Raw genomic sequence first — 16,709 nt, 5'->3', positions numbered from 1 at the left:
GTTGGTGCAAAAGTAATTGCGAGTTTTGCTGTACTTTCAATGGCAAAACCACAATTACTTTTGCACCAACCTAATAGTAATATATTTTACTATAATTTCGATTTCTAGAGATCAACTTCAACTCATTCCTTTCGGTTAAAATTCACATGCTTTATCTTCTTCCATCCTTTTGTTTCAACCTTTTTCTTTCTGTCTTTTTTTTTTTTTTTTTTGAGATGGAGTCTCACCCTGTCACGCAGGCTGAAGTGCAATGGCACAATCTTGGTTCACTGCAACCTTCACCTCCTGGGTTAAAGCGATTCTCCTTTCTCAGCCTCCCAAGTAGCTGGGATTACAGGTGCATGCTACCATGCCTGGCTCATTTTTTGTGTCTTTAGTAAAGACAGGGTTTCACCATGTTGGCCAGGCTGGTCTTGAACTCCTGACCTTGTGATCCTCCCGCCTTGGCCTCCGAAAGTGTTGGGATTACAGGCGTGAGCCACCAGGCCCAGTCTGTTTCAACCTTTTTCTATCCTTGTTTTTTGTATATACATATAGCATATAGTTGGATTTTGTTTTTTATCTAGTGTGACACTTTTATCTTTTACAGGCATATTTTGTCCCTTTCTGTTGAATGTAATTGTAAATAAACTTGAGCTTGTATATTTCTTAGCCTACTCAGGCTGCTATAACATAATACTGTATAGACTGGGTGGCTCAAACAGTACACATTTATTTCTCACAGTTCTGGAGATGAAAAGTTGAAGATCAGGGTGTGGGCTGATTTGATTCTGGTTGAGTGCCCTCTTCCTGATTTGTGATTCTGGTTGAGTGCCCTCTTCCTGATTTATAGATGGCTGGTAGACAGACATCCCCTTGCTGTGTCCTCACACGGCAAAGGGAGACCACTGGTCTCCTTTCCTCTTCTTATAAGAACTCTAATCTAATCATGGGAACCCCTCTCTCATGATTCTATCTAAACCTACCACCCTCAAAGGCCCTTACTTCCAAATAACATCATAGTTGGGCTGGAGTTGGGGGGGGCGCGGTAGGACTTCAACATATAAACTTTGGGAGGGCATAAACATTCAGTCCATAACAGTATATATCATCTTATGTTGTGCTTTCTTATTTCCCAGACTGGTCTATGTTTATTTTCCTTTTCTTTCTTACCTGATTATAGATGGACCAAATTTCTTATTCTATTTTCCTTCCTCTACTAGTCTGGAAGTAATGTATGCTGATTCTACTCTTTTAAAATTGCAGCCTGCATACTTATAAAAGTTTAAAATGCATTCATATTTTACCCTTTTTTTAAATAATACCAAAGTCCATAATATTTCAATTTTTGGATTGTATTATATTATTGCCATAATTTTCTCATTTTATTTAACCCCACAAGACTTTATTAATTATTGCTTTAAATAATAAGTGATCATTCTCCTTTCTCCATAGTTCTTCACTCTGCATTTCTTCTTTCATCAAAAGTCTTTGATCTGGCTTACTTTTTCTTCTCTCATTACACAATATATTTTAGTGAGGGCCTGCTGGGGCAAACTCTCATTTGTTTTGCCTGAAAGTGTCTTTATTTCACCCTTTCTTTTGAACATATTTTCACCAGATATAGAATTCTATGTTGGTGGCTATTTTGTTTCATTGCCTGTCTCCATCATCTCTATATCTCTATTCCCTATTTCTGGAAATCTGATTTGATATCTGTTAGAACATCGCATTCCATCCTCACATTCCATCCTCAGTGTAACAACTACTTTTTTTTTGTTTGTTTTTGAGATGGAGTCTCGCTCTGTTTCCCAGGCTGGAGTGCAGTGGCACAATCTCAGCTTACTGCAACCTCTGCATCCTGGGCTCAAGCAATCCTCCTGCCTCGGCCTCCCAAGCCGCTGGGACTACAGGTGTGCACTGCCACACTGGCTAATTTTTTATATATTTTAAGTAGAGATGAGGTTTCACCATGTCTAGAACTCCTGACCTCTGGTGATCCACACGCCTTGGCCTCCCAAAGTGCTGGGATTACAGGTGTGAGCCACCACAGCTGGCCCAGCAATTATTTTTTAATATTTTTCATCTCTTTATTTCTCTATGCTACATTCTAAATAATTTATGTTGACTTACTTTCTAGTTTGCTAATTGTCTCTTCAGCTGTGTCTAATCTGATGTCAAATTTATCTACCGAGTTTTACATTTCATTTGCTGTGACTTTCGTTTCTTGATTCAATTTGCTTCATTTTCAAATCTACTAGGTAACTTTATAGTTCTTCACATTTATCTACAAGTTTGTCTTTTATTTCTAAAAAACAGTAAACATAGTTGTTTTATAAACTAGGACTAATAATTTAAATATCTGAAGACTTCATATATCTATTTCTGTTTGCTAATGATCTAGTTCTTTCTTGGTGTCTTGTTTCCTGATGTAGCTTTTTTTGTGTGAGCTGCCTATTTTCTTTGGAAAACTATTATGAGAACACATAGAATAAAAGTACATTCCAACAGAGGTCTTTTGTTGTTATTAATCTGTCAGTTTTCTAGGAGCACCTACAGGTGGAATAGAGTTTGATTACTTCACATACACTGCAAATTCAAATGAGGTGTTTTTCCTCATCTTTTCGCTTAGTGCCACCATTCTTAAGGCTATGGTGGATTTAATCTGAGGGATAGCTCTCTAAAGTTCCAACTGTATGGAGGGACAGTCTATTTGAGCCCTCATCTTGAACAGCCTCTAGGTTATGTCTTCTGGCCCCCTTGCTCATGGAATTTGCTAAGTTGATAAATATCTTTGAGGCTATAATAGCTTTAGTACTGTCTTTCTTTCTCTGGATTCTCCCTTTTCCTGTATTTTGGCCTGATATTTTTCCACTATTTTGTCAATTTTATAGTGCTTTTAAGATATTCTTTAAGCTTTATATCTCAAATTTTTAGTTGCTTTGACAGAGAGAGAGAGAGAGAAAGAGAGAGAGAGGAGAGAGAGAGAGAGAGAAGGGAGCCTACAATACTTTTGGAATTGAAGCTAGCAGGTATAGTTTTTCCTTGCAGATTTATCCTCACAGTTTTCTACTACTGGCATCATGGAAGAATATGAGGCAAATCCATTTTCTTAAATGCTAGGTTTTCCTTCTCTAGTCTTTCACTCTCTCTTCCAAATCTATGCAGAATATAACAGAAATAATCCCAAGGTTTTCTTTTGACAATTAGTTCACAATATGTTCAGTCTCTTTACAAAAAATCCATTTTGTGAGAAAAAAATTTCATCGACATTTCTGCCTCACATATGGTCCACAGAATTTACAAGTATATAAAATCCAGGCTATTGTATCTTTGACTTTAGCCAAGGAGATACAACTCCAAAAGAGGGTGAGATCAGCTCTAGGCATCTATTTCTTATGATTATCTTAATCTGTAACACACACACACACACACACACACTCACCACCACTCCCTTAGCCCTGGGAAAGAAGATCTCTCCTCTCTCTCTGTCTCTTTCTCTCTCTCTCAATAACAGCTTATAATGGATAATACAATAGGTTGTATGTATCTCTGTTGTCTGCTGTTTCTCCTGTTTATAGTTCTAAGTGACTGGCCTGACCCATTGGTGAGAGATCGTAGTTTACCACCATTTTTGCTCAATTACCCTGTAAATAGAAGCATCCATGTGATACAGATTCTAATAGAATACTCCACCTGTAGTTTTTATTTGTTAGATCATGATGTATTGTGGGTAGAAATTGTGCACTAAAACATGTTTTCTTTCCTACACTTTAGGCCCAGGAATAGGGATGTTTTCCCAGTGATTATTAACGTCTATCTTCTTGAGTTGTGGCAAAAGTCAGAGTTGATAAGCAGTTTAATTTTATTCTCATCAATAACCTGTGGGTGATATGAGGAAGCAGGAGAGATGTTATCACTAGCTACCAAACTGCTTTAGGCACTTGTGATAAACTGACAAACTCTTGCTGTTTTTCTTTAGTGGTATTTATTCTTAAGTTTAATAGAAAGTCTTTTACTTGGCTATAACTTTAAAGACAATTTTCCCCTTCTTACAGAAGAACTTAATTCTTATATTTATTTAATGATGAAAATTATCATTTTCCCCAATCTTTATTCATTTACTGTGCCGCTGCCTGAACTCCGCACTCAGAAAAGCAAGATGAAGTCACTTGTTTTATATTTAGGGCGAATGCGTATGCTGTTCGTTTTCCATCTTTAATTGTGAAGTTGTTATTTTTTTTAGAAGGTAGGGGAAAAGGGCCTGGCATGATAATGAATTGCATAACCTTTGAAACTAGAGGAAAATAAGGAATTGTTTCAATGTAATTAGAGTATTTCATAGGTCTTTTTTTTTGAGTGATTCATGTTGAGCAATAAAATACAAATATAGCTAGAAAGAAATGTTAGAAAACCCAAGTTGATAACCTTCAAGCTCAATTCATGTTCTTGTTTGCTTCCAGACTTTCTTTTTAAATCACTATTGATTCAGAATTTATTTATTCTGAGATGATGTGTGATTATCCAATAATTCATGGCTGTTCTATAGCACAAATTCACTGCTTTGTCACACTAATCAAGAAAAATCAGTTTTTCAAAAGTGCATTTCAAATGCCCCCTAAACGTCCATTCTTCAGCACTGCCTATAAAATCAGTCTGTTAAGAGGCAGCCTGAGTGCTTTATATATTTTTTCTTTTGAGGTGCTTCTTTTAGTTGTTACTTCTAAGGTTATAACTGAATTGTTTATGATTTGTGTTCATATAGAGCAAATTATTTCAAATGATGATGCAAACTACTTAAAAAACATCCTAGTGATTTGGAAAATGTTTCTTAAAACAGGAGATTTGACATTCTTGGTAGAATATAAGGTGATTCATCATCTCTTATTTAGGAAGTTACTCAGACTGGGAGGAAAAACAACCATCATAGGTCATGATACCACTGTATTGTTTGGTTTGAAATCAGTGCTGAAGGAATCTCATTTGCATTTCCATTAATCATGCCATGTCCAATGTGGGGTCATGTTTCTGCCTGAGATGAGTTTTGGGAATGCTCATCATTTTCTGCATGAGGCGTTGTCATCATTAGGTGATGATGTAGGGTACCATGCCCTTTCTTTCACCCCCAACAAATGTATTCCTCTGTAATGCTTCCTGAATTACCTCATCCTCTCTCACAGCTACAGCCTCAGCCAGGCATCTACCATCTTATGTCTGAAATACAACAGCCATTTCCTCATTGATTCATCTGCCTTAACTTTCTTATTTCCTCTGCATCAAATATATAAACACATAACAATTATGTTGCTTATTTAGAAGACTTTGGGGGTGGTGTAAGTCCTTCTCCAACTCCTGGTAATGTGCTTAATTCCTCTAACTGCTGTCATGTCTTGTTCCCTAGGCATAGCTCTTTGTTACAGCTAAGTATGTGCTGTTGTCTAGCTTTCACACATGACACATTCTTTCCTCTAAGTATGGTTAAAATTTCTCTCCTTCTAAAAGTTATTCCATAACCATCACACCCAGCTTAGTCACTGAAATCCTTCTAGAATTATTGGTATTATTTGTAGCCAACGTGTCAATTCAACAAGTTGGTTTGTACTGATTCTACACTGATCGCTTTAGTTATGTGGGTAATTTACATTTTACTGTTTCCCATATTAGTTGGTCCCCTCTGAAGGTAGAAATTGTTTCCCAACTTTTTTTCCCTCCATTATCTATCATTTTATGGATGAAAAAATGGAAGGTTAGAGGGGCAAAAAGTAATTCTCCCAAGATCATACTGCTTATAGATGGTAGAAATAACATTTTATACCAGTTAATTTGATACCCAGTTTTTATTCACCAATATGGGATACTTTCTCCCTTACTTCCTTTGTCAGCTTCTACTTGCCTTGACATTACAATCAGATACTGAATTAGTGTTGGTGATAAGGGGAGTAATTTTTCACATCGGTGCACTTCTAGGAGTCTATTAACTTCCTTTAATCTAAGTTGAAATTTATCTAAAGTGATTTGCTGGTGACTGCCAAGATTGATCCTTTAGTTGTATTTTCATAATCTAAATTAAATATATAAGATATCAAAATTACATTGACATTCTTTTAAAACTTATCTTGTAAATATTTACTGAATGCCTGCTATGTGTACAACAGGCACTAATGTAGGTAACAGGAACAGAGAAATAACCAAGATCTCATTTCTGCCCTAGAGAAACTATGTAGTAATCCAGTAGGATAAATAGCCATGTGTATTAGCTTCCTATTGCTGTGGTAATGAATTACCACACAATTCTAAGTGTGGCTTAGAAAAACACAAATTTATTATCTTACGATTCTAGATGTTAGAAGTCCAAAATACATCTCAATGAGCTAAAATCAAGGGATTAGCAGGATGTCCAGGGGAGATCCATTTTCTTACTTTTTCCAGGTTCTAGAAGCTTCTGTATTCCTTGGCTAATGACTCTCTTACATCTTTAAAGCCAGAAATAGCCAGTTGAGTTTTTCTAACATTGCATCTTTCCAACCTTGTTTCTGTTGTCACATTTCCTTCTTTGACTCATCTGCCTCCCTTTTCCCTATAGAAGTACCCTTGTGATCACATTGGGCTCACCCAGATAAACCAGGCTAATCTCACCATTTCATGGTCCTTAATTTATTCACATCTGCAAAATCCCTTTCCTTATATTAGGTAACATTTACAGGGTCCAGGGATTAGGATGTGAACATCTTTGGGAGGCCATTATTCTGTCTACCACAACATGAAAACAGATAACCTGTATTATAGTGTCCTAAGCTCAACAATGCAAATGGAAGTACTGTGTCTCAGAGATTAATGGAATTAGCTGCTTTGGAATGGAATTCTTTGAAAGTTCTCAGGATTCTTCTCCTGTCAAAGTGGGTGGAATTCACTTTGGCCCACTTTGGCACAGTGGCCAGTAGAATGTCTTTGTTCTTGTCCTTCTTGAGAATCAGTAGGAAGTTTGTGAGGGGAAGTGTAGGCCTCCTTTAGCCATCACCAAGGGAATAAGGAGGAGAAAGTCACATTGCTCAGAGGGAACAGAATATGAATATGAAAAGGGGGGAACCATACATAGTACAGAATTGCATAAGATCAAGTTAAAAGAGGGGCATTATAAGAAATAAGACTGGTGAGATGAGCCATATCGTAAAAAGCCATGTGTGTTGGGCTAAGAAGTGGGAACATCATCCTGTAAGAAATGGCTAAGAACATGATTCCTTATTATTTGGTGGGACTTAGAGGAAAACAGAACCCTTTCTTTGAATGAAATGACAGGCCCTCTTTTATAGACATACTATAAAGCATGTTTTAAAAATAAAACAAAACACGTACTTAAGTATTCACATTTCTCTGCTGGCTATTGTTGTATATTAAAGTCTTAATTTTGTACTGCTCCATTTTTCCATGTTCACTGGAAAGTAATCTGACCTGCTTACTCACAGTAGGTCTCTTTTAAGTTCTAGAACATGTATTCATCCCACCTGAGTTCCTTTTTTGCTCTCTGAATTAATATTAGGTTCTCAGAAGGAGAATATTCCTGCAGGAATAAAATCAAATGTTTTGGATTTTTACTTTTTATAGCTTATCAATGGTAGTTATATTGTCATTTTCTTTGAGAAACAGATTACTTTTAAAGAAAAGAGTCTTTCTAAGCATCACTGGCTGCTTTATCTTGCCATTTGCTTTCAATGGAGCCATGTGAAATCTGCCCCTATGAATTGAATTAGTTACCTGAACTATTTTCCTTAATCTTCATGAATTATTTCTGGTTTGGAAATTGCATTGTATGGCTGCAATACCAACTGTTAACCACCACAACAAATGTGTAGCTGTCTTTTATAAATGTTTTTCAATGATTCTAAATTTACTGTTGCAAGACAATAAACTTGGTGATCAGAAAGTCAAATGACTTAAGAAGCTTATAAAATATTATATAATTTTAGGGTTTTTTGTCTTTAAGTGAGAAATATGAATTGCATTCAAGGAGCTAAGCCACATGACAGCGAACCACTGTGGCTTTTTTCATTTAGCTGGCCCTTCAGTCTATTTATTCCAGAGACGCAATTAGAGTACGTGAGGGCCCCTATAAAAGCACTGCCCTCTATTGATTTGCAGGATATAAAAAATTTGCATGACAATACAAATTCTGACAGCACATGGGGGCAGGGTGAAGTAATCACTTTCCAGCTGTCATTACTATACAGAATCAGCTCAATCTTATCATCTGACTGGTTTTGGTGTATTTTCAACTGAAAAATAAAGCAGCCAGTATTTACAATCAGAAAATGTCAGCTTTTCAGGCAGATTCGACAATGGCATTTCATTTACACTGCAATCCACTTTCTCACTTGGTGAGGTACAAATCACAGGAAGATTGGAAGCCAGCCTAAATACTTTTAAGCTGGTTTTGCCTACCTTTAATGTAAACAGCAAATAATTACAAAATCAATAGAAGTTGTTAACCCCTTTAAACCTGTCTTCTCCTTACTCATCTGTGGGATTACTTTAAAATGACCAGTGAGTAACTTACTGCTAAATGGTTCAACACAGGCTTTGTTTGGAGTTGGACAGTCTGCCTTCCAATGCCACCTCCGCCTCTTGTTAGCTGAGTGAGCTAGGGAAAATTATCTCACCTTTCTGTACCCCAACTTCCTCATTTGTAAAATAGAATAATAATAATGGCATATTTTATTACATTGAAATGGCATGAATTTTTAGAAACATTAAATGACATAATAAATACACTAGGGCTATTGCATTGCAGTGCTCAGAGAAGTACAATTCACATTGCGTTCTATGTGGAATTGTGCAAGATGGCAGACCTACATGTAAAGAACTTACGGTAGTCCCTGGTACAAATAAGAATAAATTTTATAGAGTTTATGATCTTTCCTTTTTCTTGAAATTATTTGACTTTCTTGAATGTCTGTGTCTCTTCCTAAAACTCTTTCACTGGCTCCTCACATCTAATGGTAGTGTCTCCCAAAACTCATACACATCATGATGACCTGCTTTTCTCCTCATTTTCTCCATTAGGTTGGTCTGTTAAGTAGAACTAGACATAATGACAGTGTGTAAACTGGGATGTACTTATTAAATTGAGACTAAAATCAAATAGATTAATGGTTCCCAAATCTGTCTGTGCATCAGAGTCAGTTAGTGGGTCATCTAAAAATACAGATTCTCAGGCCCATTCCTCAGATCTATGGAATTAGAATATTTGATATGGGGGATTGTTGGAATCTTGTACCCCTAAAAGTTTTTGAGCTATTTCAGCTATTCAGACAGATTAGGGAACTGAAATCTAGAACCAGGAATGATGCAAATATTACTGTTCAACATCAGAGTGAAAGATTCAAGTCAAAGAGCACAGGGTCAGAGCATGAGCAGAAAATGAAGCCAGAGCTGAGTGTTAGGAGCCTGTGAAGCCTGTTCATTCGTGACCCGCCCTGTGCCCCACAGCATTCTCTATCACAGCTCTTACCACACAGTGTTGAAATGATGTTTCCAGCTTATGTTTTCTTTCCTTCCTTTTTTCCTTCCTTCCTTCCTTCTTCTCTCTCGTTCCTTCTTTCTTTTTCTTTCTTTTCTCTTCCTTTCCTTCCTTTCTCTTTCTTTTCTTTCTCTCATCTGTCTTGCTCTCTCGCCCAAGCTGGAGTACAGTGCCACAATCTCAGCTCACTGCAACGTCCGCCTCCTGGGTTCAAGGGATTCTCATGCCTCAGCCTTTGGAATAGCTAGGACTACAGGTGTGCACCATCACGCCCAGCTAATCTGAGGTTTTGCCAGGTTACCCAGGCTGCTCTGGAACTCCTGGCCTCAAGCAGTCCACCAGCCTTGGCTTTTCAAAGTGCTAGGATTATAGGTGTGAGCCACCCATGTCCGGCCCTCTCGAGCTTATATTTCTTATTCAAGTATGAGATTCATAAAGGCAGACTTAGTCTGAAAAATTCCTCTTCATATCCTCACACCAGTGTTCATGGCAAGGATCCAAAAAATGTTGTTAAAATAAATAGTTAAAATGTAAGCCAAGAGAGAACGAATTATTAATAGGACTCTTTGGCTCTTTTGTTACATATAACCAATTTGAACTAGTTAAAAGTGAGAAAAGGGAATGCAGTTTAAGACTATAAGGTATCTCATGAAACTCAACGCTGGGCTTCAGGTAGGAACTAGACCACAAGATAAATGCCATTAGGACCATTGTCTCTGTTTCTCTTTGAACATTTACTTCAATAACTTCTTTCTGAAAGCCAGATTTCTCTGCTTCTCTTGTTTGCGAGGTTTATATTTTGCAGTTCCAGTCTTCTACTGAGAATAACTCGTTGTCCATTCTAATTCTAAATTCCTGGGATTGAGAATCTGACTGGCCCAGCTTGGATCCAATATCTGAACCAGATCCAGTTGGCCATGGCCAGAAAACAGGCACAAAGAAGAAATGTCACTACTAAAGACCTACTCCTGTGGATTGGGGGACAGAGGGATGGTCAGTTCTCAGATAAAGTAGACTTAAACACTTTTAATATTATCTGTTGCAGTGAGGCAGATTCAGATAAGCTGTCCAAAAAAGAGAAGCAGACAGTGTGCTAGAGAACTTGGCACTGAAGTACAAATCAACTGTCTCAAACAGGAAAATTTTATCTTTTATTCAGGACCAGACCTTTTTATAGGGACAAATCCCTAGAGGAACAGGTGGGAGTGCTTAGGTTGTAGGGGAAGAGTCAAGAAGTCGGGGATTGCAAAATGCACACCCTTGGCCAGCAATGACTTTACATAATTTGTTACTGGGTCTGCCCACACAGTACATGTAGGGAGAAAAAAGCCATTCCATATGTACTTTCACTGTTTAAAGAAAAGGGTAATATATCACAATCATAATGCAGTAAAGTGACAAGGGCACCTTCCCAGATGGCATGAAGTCTGCCAGTAGATTGAAAAAACTGCAATAAAAATGTTTTTATAATAGAACATTAATTTTTATGTACCATACAGCCAACATGATAGAGACCAACAGTACCTAGTATTTGAACTTCTCGAAGGAAACTCTAATCTACTGAGAGGAATGGGAGAGCTGGGATAAGGAGGCATCTCATATTGAAATGTGCACCTCACAAGTCCTCAGCAACACTTGGTGATGGAAGATGGTAAAATTGTTTTGCAGACCATAAAGTCTTCAAGTTTTGCTACCCTGGATACAATCTTTAATGTTGGTACTCAGTATGGTGGGAGGATACATTCACTGGGTATATGGAATATGTTCCTTAACCACTCTTCCCAGTCCTCCTTCTAAGCTGGAGATAGGAGAAAGAATTGACAACTGTAACCAAGACATACTTATGTTTCATCAAACCAAAGTATGAATTCATCACTGCACTGAGCAGTGGACTAACCAATATGTAGATATTTCTTCATTAATATTTTATATTAATTTATTTGCTGGCTTATATGCTTAAAATGTCTTTGTTTTAAATGCAGGTGATCCAAGGACATATGACCCAGATTTCAAGGGGCCTGTTGCCAACAGGTAAGCAATTATTTTTTGGGGAATATGCTTTTTTAAACATACACAGAAAGCTTTGGGGGATGGGGGAGGTACTGTTTTCCAGTCAGTGGAGAATTGTGTCTACTGTGAGGGGAAAATGATATATTTCTGCCTAAATGTCACCTTATTTACACAGGGAAAGTACAGAGAATAAATCTTTCCATGAGTCATGAATATCTTCTCCCATTAGCAAATGAACTGCCTTACATTATTAAACTAAGTGTTTGTACTTTTCAAAAAGAGAAGTGAAAAAAAATGCTTTATGAGATTTAACCACTTTGTAGAGAAGCAAACTCATTCAAGTAGTTGTTTTATGCACCTGTTTACTCTGGGACTCACCATTGCAAATGCAGAGTTGCCATGCCAACTTCTTCCAAGCCAAGTATTTGTGCTGCTCAGCTTCCAAGATCAGAGTGCTTTCTCAGAGGCAGTCATTCACCAATGCATCGTGTGCACTTTAAGATAGTTTAAAATGCTCTAGGGAAATATGTACTCATCTCAGCTGGTGCTTCCTGCCCTCTCCAAGGTTCTGTGCCATTTTAAAATTAGCCAGTAATTCATAGTCCTCTTATTATTTATTTTAGCCTCTATTTGCAAGCTTTTTGCTAATAACAAAGGGGATTGTGAGGTAAAATGTCTACATATGGAGGGAAGACTGTGCAGTTGGTGGCTGTTTTTTGCTTAACTTTGATTTCTGTCAGTTGTATGTCATAATGAACCGTGATGTGAACTAGCGATCAGCATGCTCATTTGCACGTGCCAACCATCAGTATGTACGTTAGCATTTACTGTTATGTCCCTGTAATAGCCCAGCTTTAAAGAGACGTATATTCAGTTTGTTCTAATTTTGTAAAAAAACAAGTCATTTGTTTCAGGTTACTCATTTAAAGGTATACTTAGAATAAAGGCACCTTCTTTAAAATGAGTCCAAAACCTCTCCATTCTCTCCATGGTAACACCATGAATACATTTTGTTGTCTAGTATACAAACAGCCTCATTCAGTGTAGTGGCTACTTTTACTATGATTACATCCATTTTACAATAACTTATTTGTAAGCATTGAATGTAGCCTGTTGGCTTCAAGGGAACTTTAGGTATAAATCAGATTCAACAGTAATAATAATTATAATAAATAGGCTGACACATTTAGAAAGAGGAAATACAGATTACAGGTGTGTCTTTCTAGGCCATAGATAAGAGAGCAGAATTATGCCTGGCTGGTTTTAGGTGTAGTAAAAGAGGTGAGATCTCCTGTCTTCCATTATGTAGAATTTAATGACGGAACCGTGTAGTTCAGGTAAAGTCTAAACGACTGTGATAATCACTGTGAGGAAAGTAATTTATTTTTACCTGGGGCCTTTTGTGATGCCTCCGGCACCACAAAGACCTTCAAAGGTGAGCTGGTCATTCTGTGGGCAGACCTTCCTCTGCCTTCAATCCAAGAATGGAGGAAAGCATTGTAAAACCAGGGAGGCATAAATACAGGAAGACATAGTTGGCCTATTTGTAACTTTTTCAGACAGCAGGGTTCTATACTGTCCTTACCGGGAAAATAACTGGGGTGTTTAAGGAGCAAATAAGAAGCCCCCAATTCTCCACATTGCCTTTAGCAGCAGGACTGGCTTTAATAACACCTTGTGCTTACATCATGAAGCTCTCCTGAAAAATCCCAAATGTTATTGGATATTCAGACAGACTCTTACAGCATTCTCTGCTTGTCAGTCCACTATGTTCTGCTTTCTTCTCTCAGTTCACAAGGGCAGCATTTTGTGCCTAGTCACCACCCAACTGAATTTGTTTTGAGAAAAGGCGAAGGGATGATGGTCATGCATAGGAGAGGTGAACTCAGTGTCTCATTTGTTCCCATCTACCAAGAACTGGGTGTATGAGAGCTATTGTCCAATAACCAAGAGAAGATGATTTTGATAGTTTAAGGTGTTTCCCCAGGCCCTTTTCACAAAATAGATCTTCAGGCCCCAAGATTTCTCCCTGATATTCAACAGAATCAAAAAATGATTGATTAGTGAAAAAGATATTCAGCATTATCCTTGGCATTAGACATTGGAATTGAATACACATAGAAAACTAAGAAATGAAAGCTCTCCGATAAGATGCTACATGAGAAATTCATCTCATAATGTAGACCTAACTAAATTTTATTTGATGGAGAATTGGTATGCTTTCTTCTGTTAGGTAAGAACCATGTAATCCACTGTTTCTCTTCCTGTACTGCCTTGTAGGAAGCCTACTGATAAGCCCACTTATTTTTGAGGAAGAGAACATCTCATCTTTGTATTATTACCAACTAGCATAATTCTTCTGATAGAGTAAGGGGTACTATACACATTTATTTAAGGAGTGAAGGAAAGAAAACAAGAATGGGAAGGAAGCAGTGTGACATAGAATCCAGGGATAAATACAAGGATGAACTTCAAAAGGGGCTGAGTAACGGCCATAGCATTATTACACTTGAGACAAAACAGTCAGCATATGTAAGTGAAGCTTCACTTATGGGTTTAAACTTCAGGACTTCTAAGTCTATATTTAAAGTTCTTGCTAAGATGCTATCTGAACCCTCAACCATTTTCAGATGCCAATGGTGTGATATTGGGTTTATATTCCTAAATAAGATACTCTGCTAACAGGAAAGTAGTAGCAGAGTTCTCTGCGCTATTTGCATTACTAGGTCTCATGGAATACACCTCATACTATTTTTCAAGTCAATTAGTTTTTATAACATGTCTACAGGGGGCATGACACTGCATATGGTGTGGATCCAAGTATGCTGTGTCAAGGGAGGTCAAAGATTTACAGGTCCTCATACAAAAAGTTCAGCCTATTCTGTTTATCTCTCTCTTTTTATATTAGGTCAAAGTCATTAAAATGTTGTATGACCATTTGCTTGACCTGTGATCCAAGTCTAGGAAAATAAAGTCCAAATTGCTACAGTTGGCATCCTGTAATAAAGGCCACATATTATCATCTCGGGTTTTAGAGATGGAGTTTGTTTCCTTTTGTTTTAAATACGTAAACTATCCTGAAAAAAGGATGCAATTTTAAATAATGCTGACATTGTCAAGCATAGCTGTGAAAGAAATAATCATATTCTGGCCGGGCACGGTGGATCATGCCTGTAATCCCAGAACTTTGGGAGGCTGAGGCCGGCAGATCAGTTGAGGCCAGAAGTTGGAAACCAGCCTGGCCAACATGGTGAAACCCCGTCTCCACTAAAAATATCAAAAGTAGCCGGGTGTGGTGGTGCGTGCCTTTAATCTCACATTCAGGAGGCTGAGGCAGGAGAATCGCTTGAACCCAGGAGGCAGAGGTTGCAGTGAGTTGAGATCATGCCACTGCACTCCAGCCTGGGTGACAGAGAAAGACTCTGTCTCAAAAAATAATAATAATAATAACCATACATTTTACAAACAGAACGCTGTCCAAGGAATAGGTGCTATAACCAGTGGTATACTAAGAAAAAAATGAAAATCTAGACCTCATCATTAATTACTCACACAAATATTGAATGCACACCTCTGTCCTCCAAGGGAAATTACACACCAGATGACAAGACCCCACAAGCATATGAAAAGCTAAAGAGCAAGCACAAGTAACATGGGCTGTGCACCAAATGTGTGGTCCACAGCAAAGGCTGCTGCAGGATTTCAGGGAAGGACGGGCACTCTGAGGCTGGTGTCAGAGGTGCTGATTCCTGGGCAGGGCCACAGAGCAAAGAAGACTACTAATTTATGGGAGGCACTTTTCCAAACTTAGGAATTTGGAAAATAGCACTGTTTTCTAAGAGTTAAACTAGAAATTAACACATAATTAAAGCACAGATGTAGATAGTCACCATAATGAGACCTGTAAGGCTTCTAGTCCAGCAAGGCTTGATGATACATTTATTCAATCTATTAACATATCTAAAGAGAAGTACAAATGATGATCAAACAACTCTGTCCATCCAAGAACTCTCCAGATTAGGGCACCAAGTCAAATTGATGAGAGGATCCTATGTAAGGATCCTGCTCTCTTGACCACAGGCTAGCAGAGATGGATGCCATCAGATATTCTATTCATGCAATTCCCCTTGTTCTGACTCCACACTCATCAAGCAACCTTTTGATAATTAGGTTTTTCATGTAGTTTGCCTACAGGGAGGAATGAACTGGTCAGGGCAACATGAACATCAGTTCGGCTCAGCAGTTAAATTTCTCAATGTAAATTATTTCATTGGCATTCTGATTTTAGACATCAGTCTCTTGTGAGCTTTGTCAGTGCCAGTCATCATCCCTGAGTTGGAGTAATTCTAGGGCATGACAGAATCAATATTCAGACCCTGCAGAAATGTACATAACTGGTTTGGCTCAGCAGAGAGTTTATTCAAGCATTTAGAGAACGCAGAGTGAGATTGTTTAGGCAGATATGTTAGGACAAAATTATGTAGGGCTTTGAATACCATGCTAAAGCATTTGGAGCTGATTCTTAGGCAGTGGGAACTCATTGGAGAAATTAGTACCGGTGGACTGGTGTGACATGATCAAAACTGTTACTCACAGGTCTGCAATGTACAGCTGTATGTAGTGGAGCTCATGGCTTAACTGAAGAGTCAGCCAAGCAAGCAACTAACTACAACGTGGTATTATAAGTGCACAGACTACTCTTGGAGCACCAAGGAAGAGTGCCTGCAATTCACTCCAGGGGTGATCAGAGGATATTTTTCAGAAGAGAGAATTTTCCACTAGACTTTAATGTTCTTTCAAAATGTCCCCTTTATATAGGTGTTTTAGTTAAAAGAAATATATCAGTATTTCAAAAAGCCTCAGAAATATATTTATATTTCTGACTTTCTACTTGATAGTTCTACCTGGATGTGCCATGGGCATCCTAAACTCAACATTTTAGAGCCTAAACTCATGAGCTCCTTTGCCCTTTATACCCTTCTTGCTCCTTCTCATGGTGTTTCCTCCCTTGGTGAATGTAACTACAATCAAACTAGTTGTTAAACACAATAGTGCTAGATTCTTGCTTCTACCCTGAATATATAATAGTCCTAAAACCTTGCAGATTTTGTCTTCTTTTTACCTCTTAGAACTCTGCTTTCCCAGGACAACTGCCTGAGTTGAGGCTTTAATAATCTCTTAGCTGAGTTACTGAAATCGTCTTTTA

The 16,709-nt window shown here is 37.9% G+C and overlaps 1 protein-coding gene across 13 annotated transcripts in view; it reads left to right on the top strand.

Annotated features, from left to right (window-relative positions):
* Positions 1-16,709, top strand: part of SLC44A5 (solute carrier family 44 member 5) — a 521,887-nt gene that overhangs the window by 372,910 nt on the left and 132,268 nt on the right. For all 13 annotated transcript variants that reach the window (XM_047449166.1, XM_017000608.2, NM_001130058.2 and 10 more), the window contains one exon: positions 11,476-11,524. In XM_047449166.1, the coding sequence (XP_047305122.1) occupies positions 11,476-11,524 (49 nt within the window). The remainder of the gene's footprint in view (positions 1-11,475; positions 11,525-16,709) is intronic.

The sequence above is a fragment of the Homo sapiens genome, chromosome 1, assembly GCF_000001405.40.
Source record: "Homo sapiens chromosome 1, GRCh38.p14 Primary Assembly".
In the NCBI taxonomy this organism is placed as follows: Eukaryota; Metazoa; Chordata; class Mammalia; order Primates; family Hominidae; genus Homo; species Homo sapiens.
This window is presented reverse-complemented; position numbering and strand designations above follow the sequence as displayed.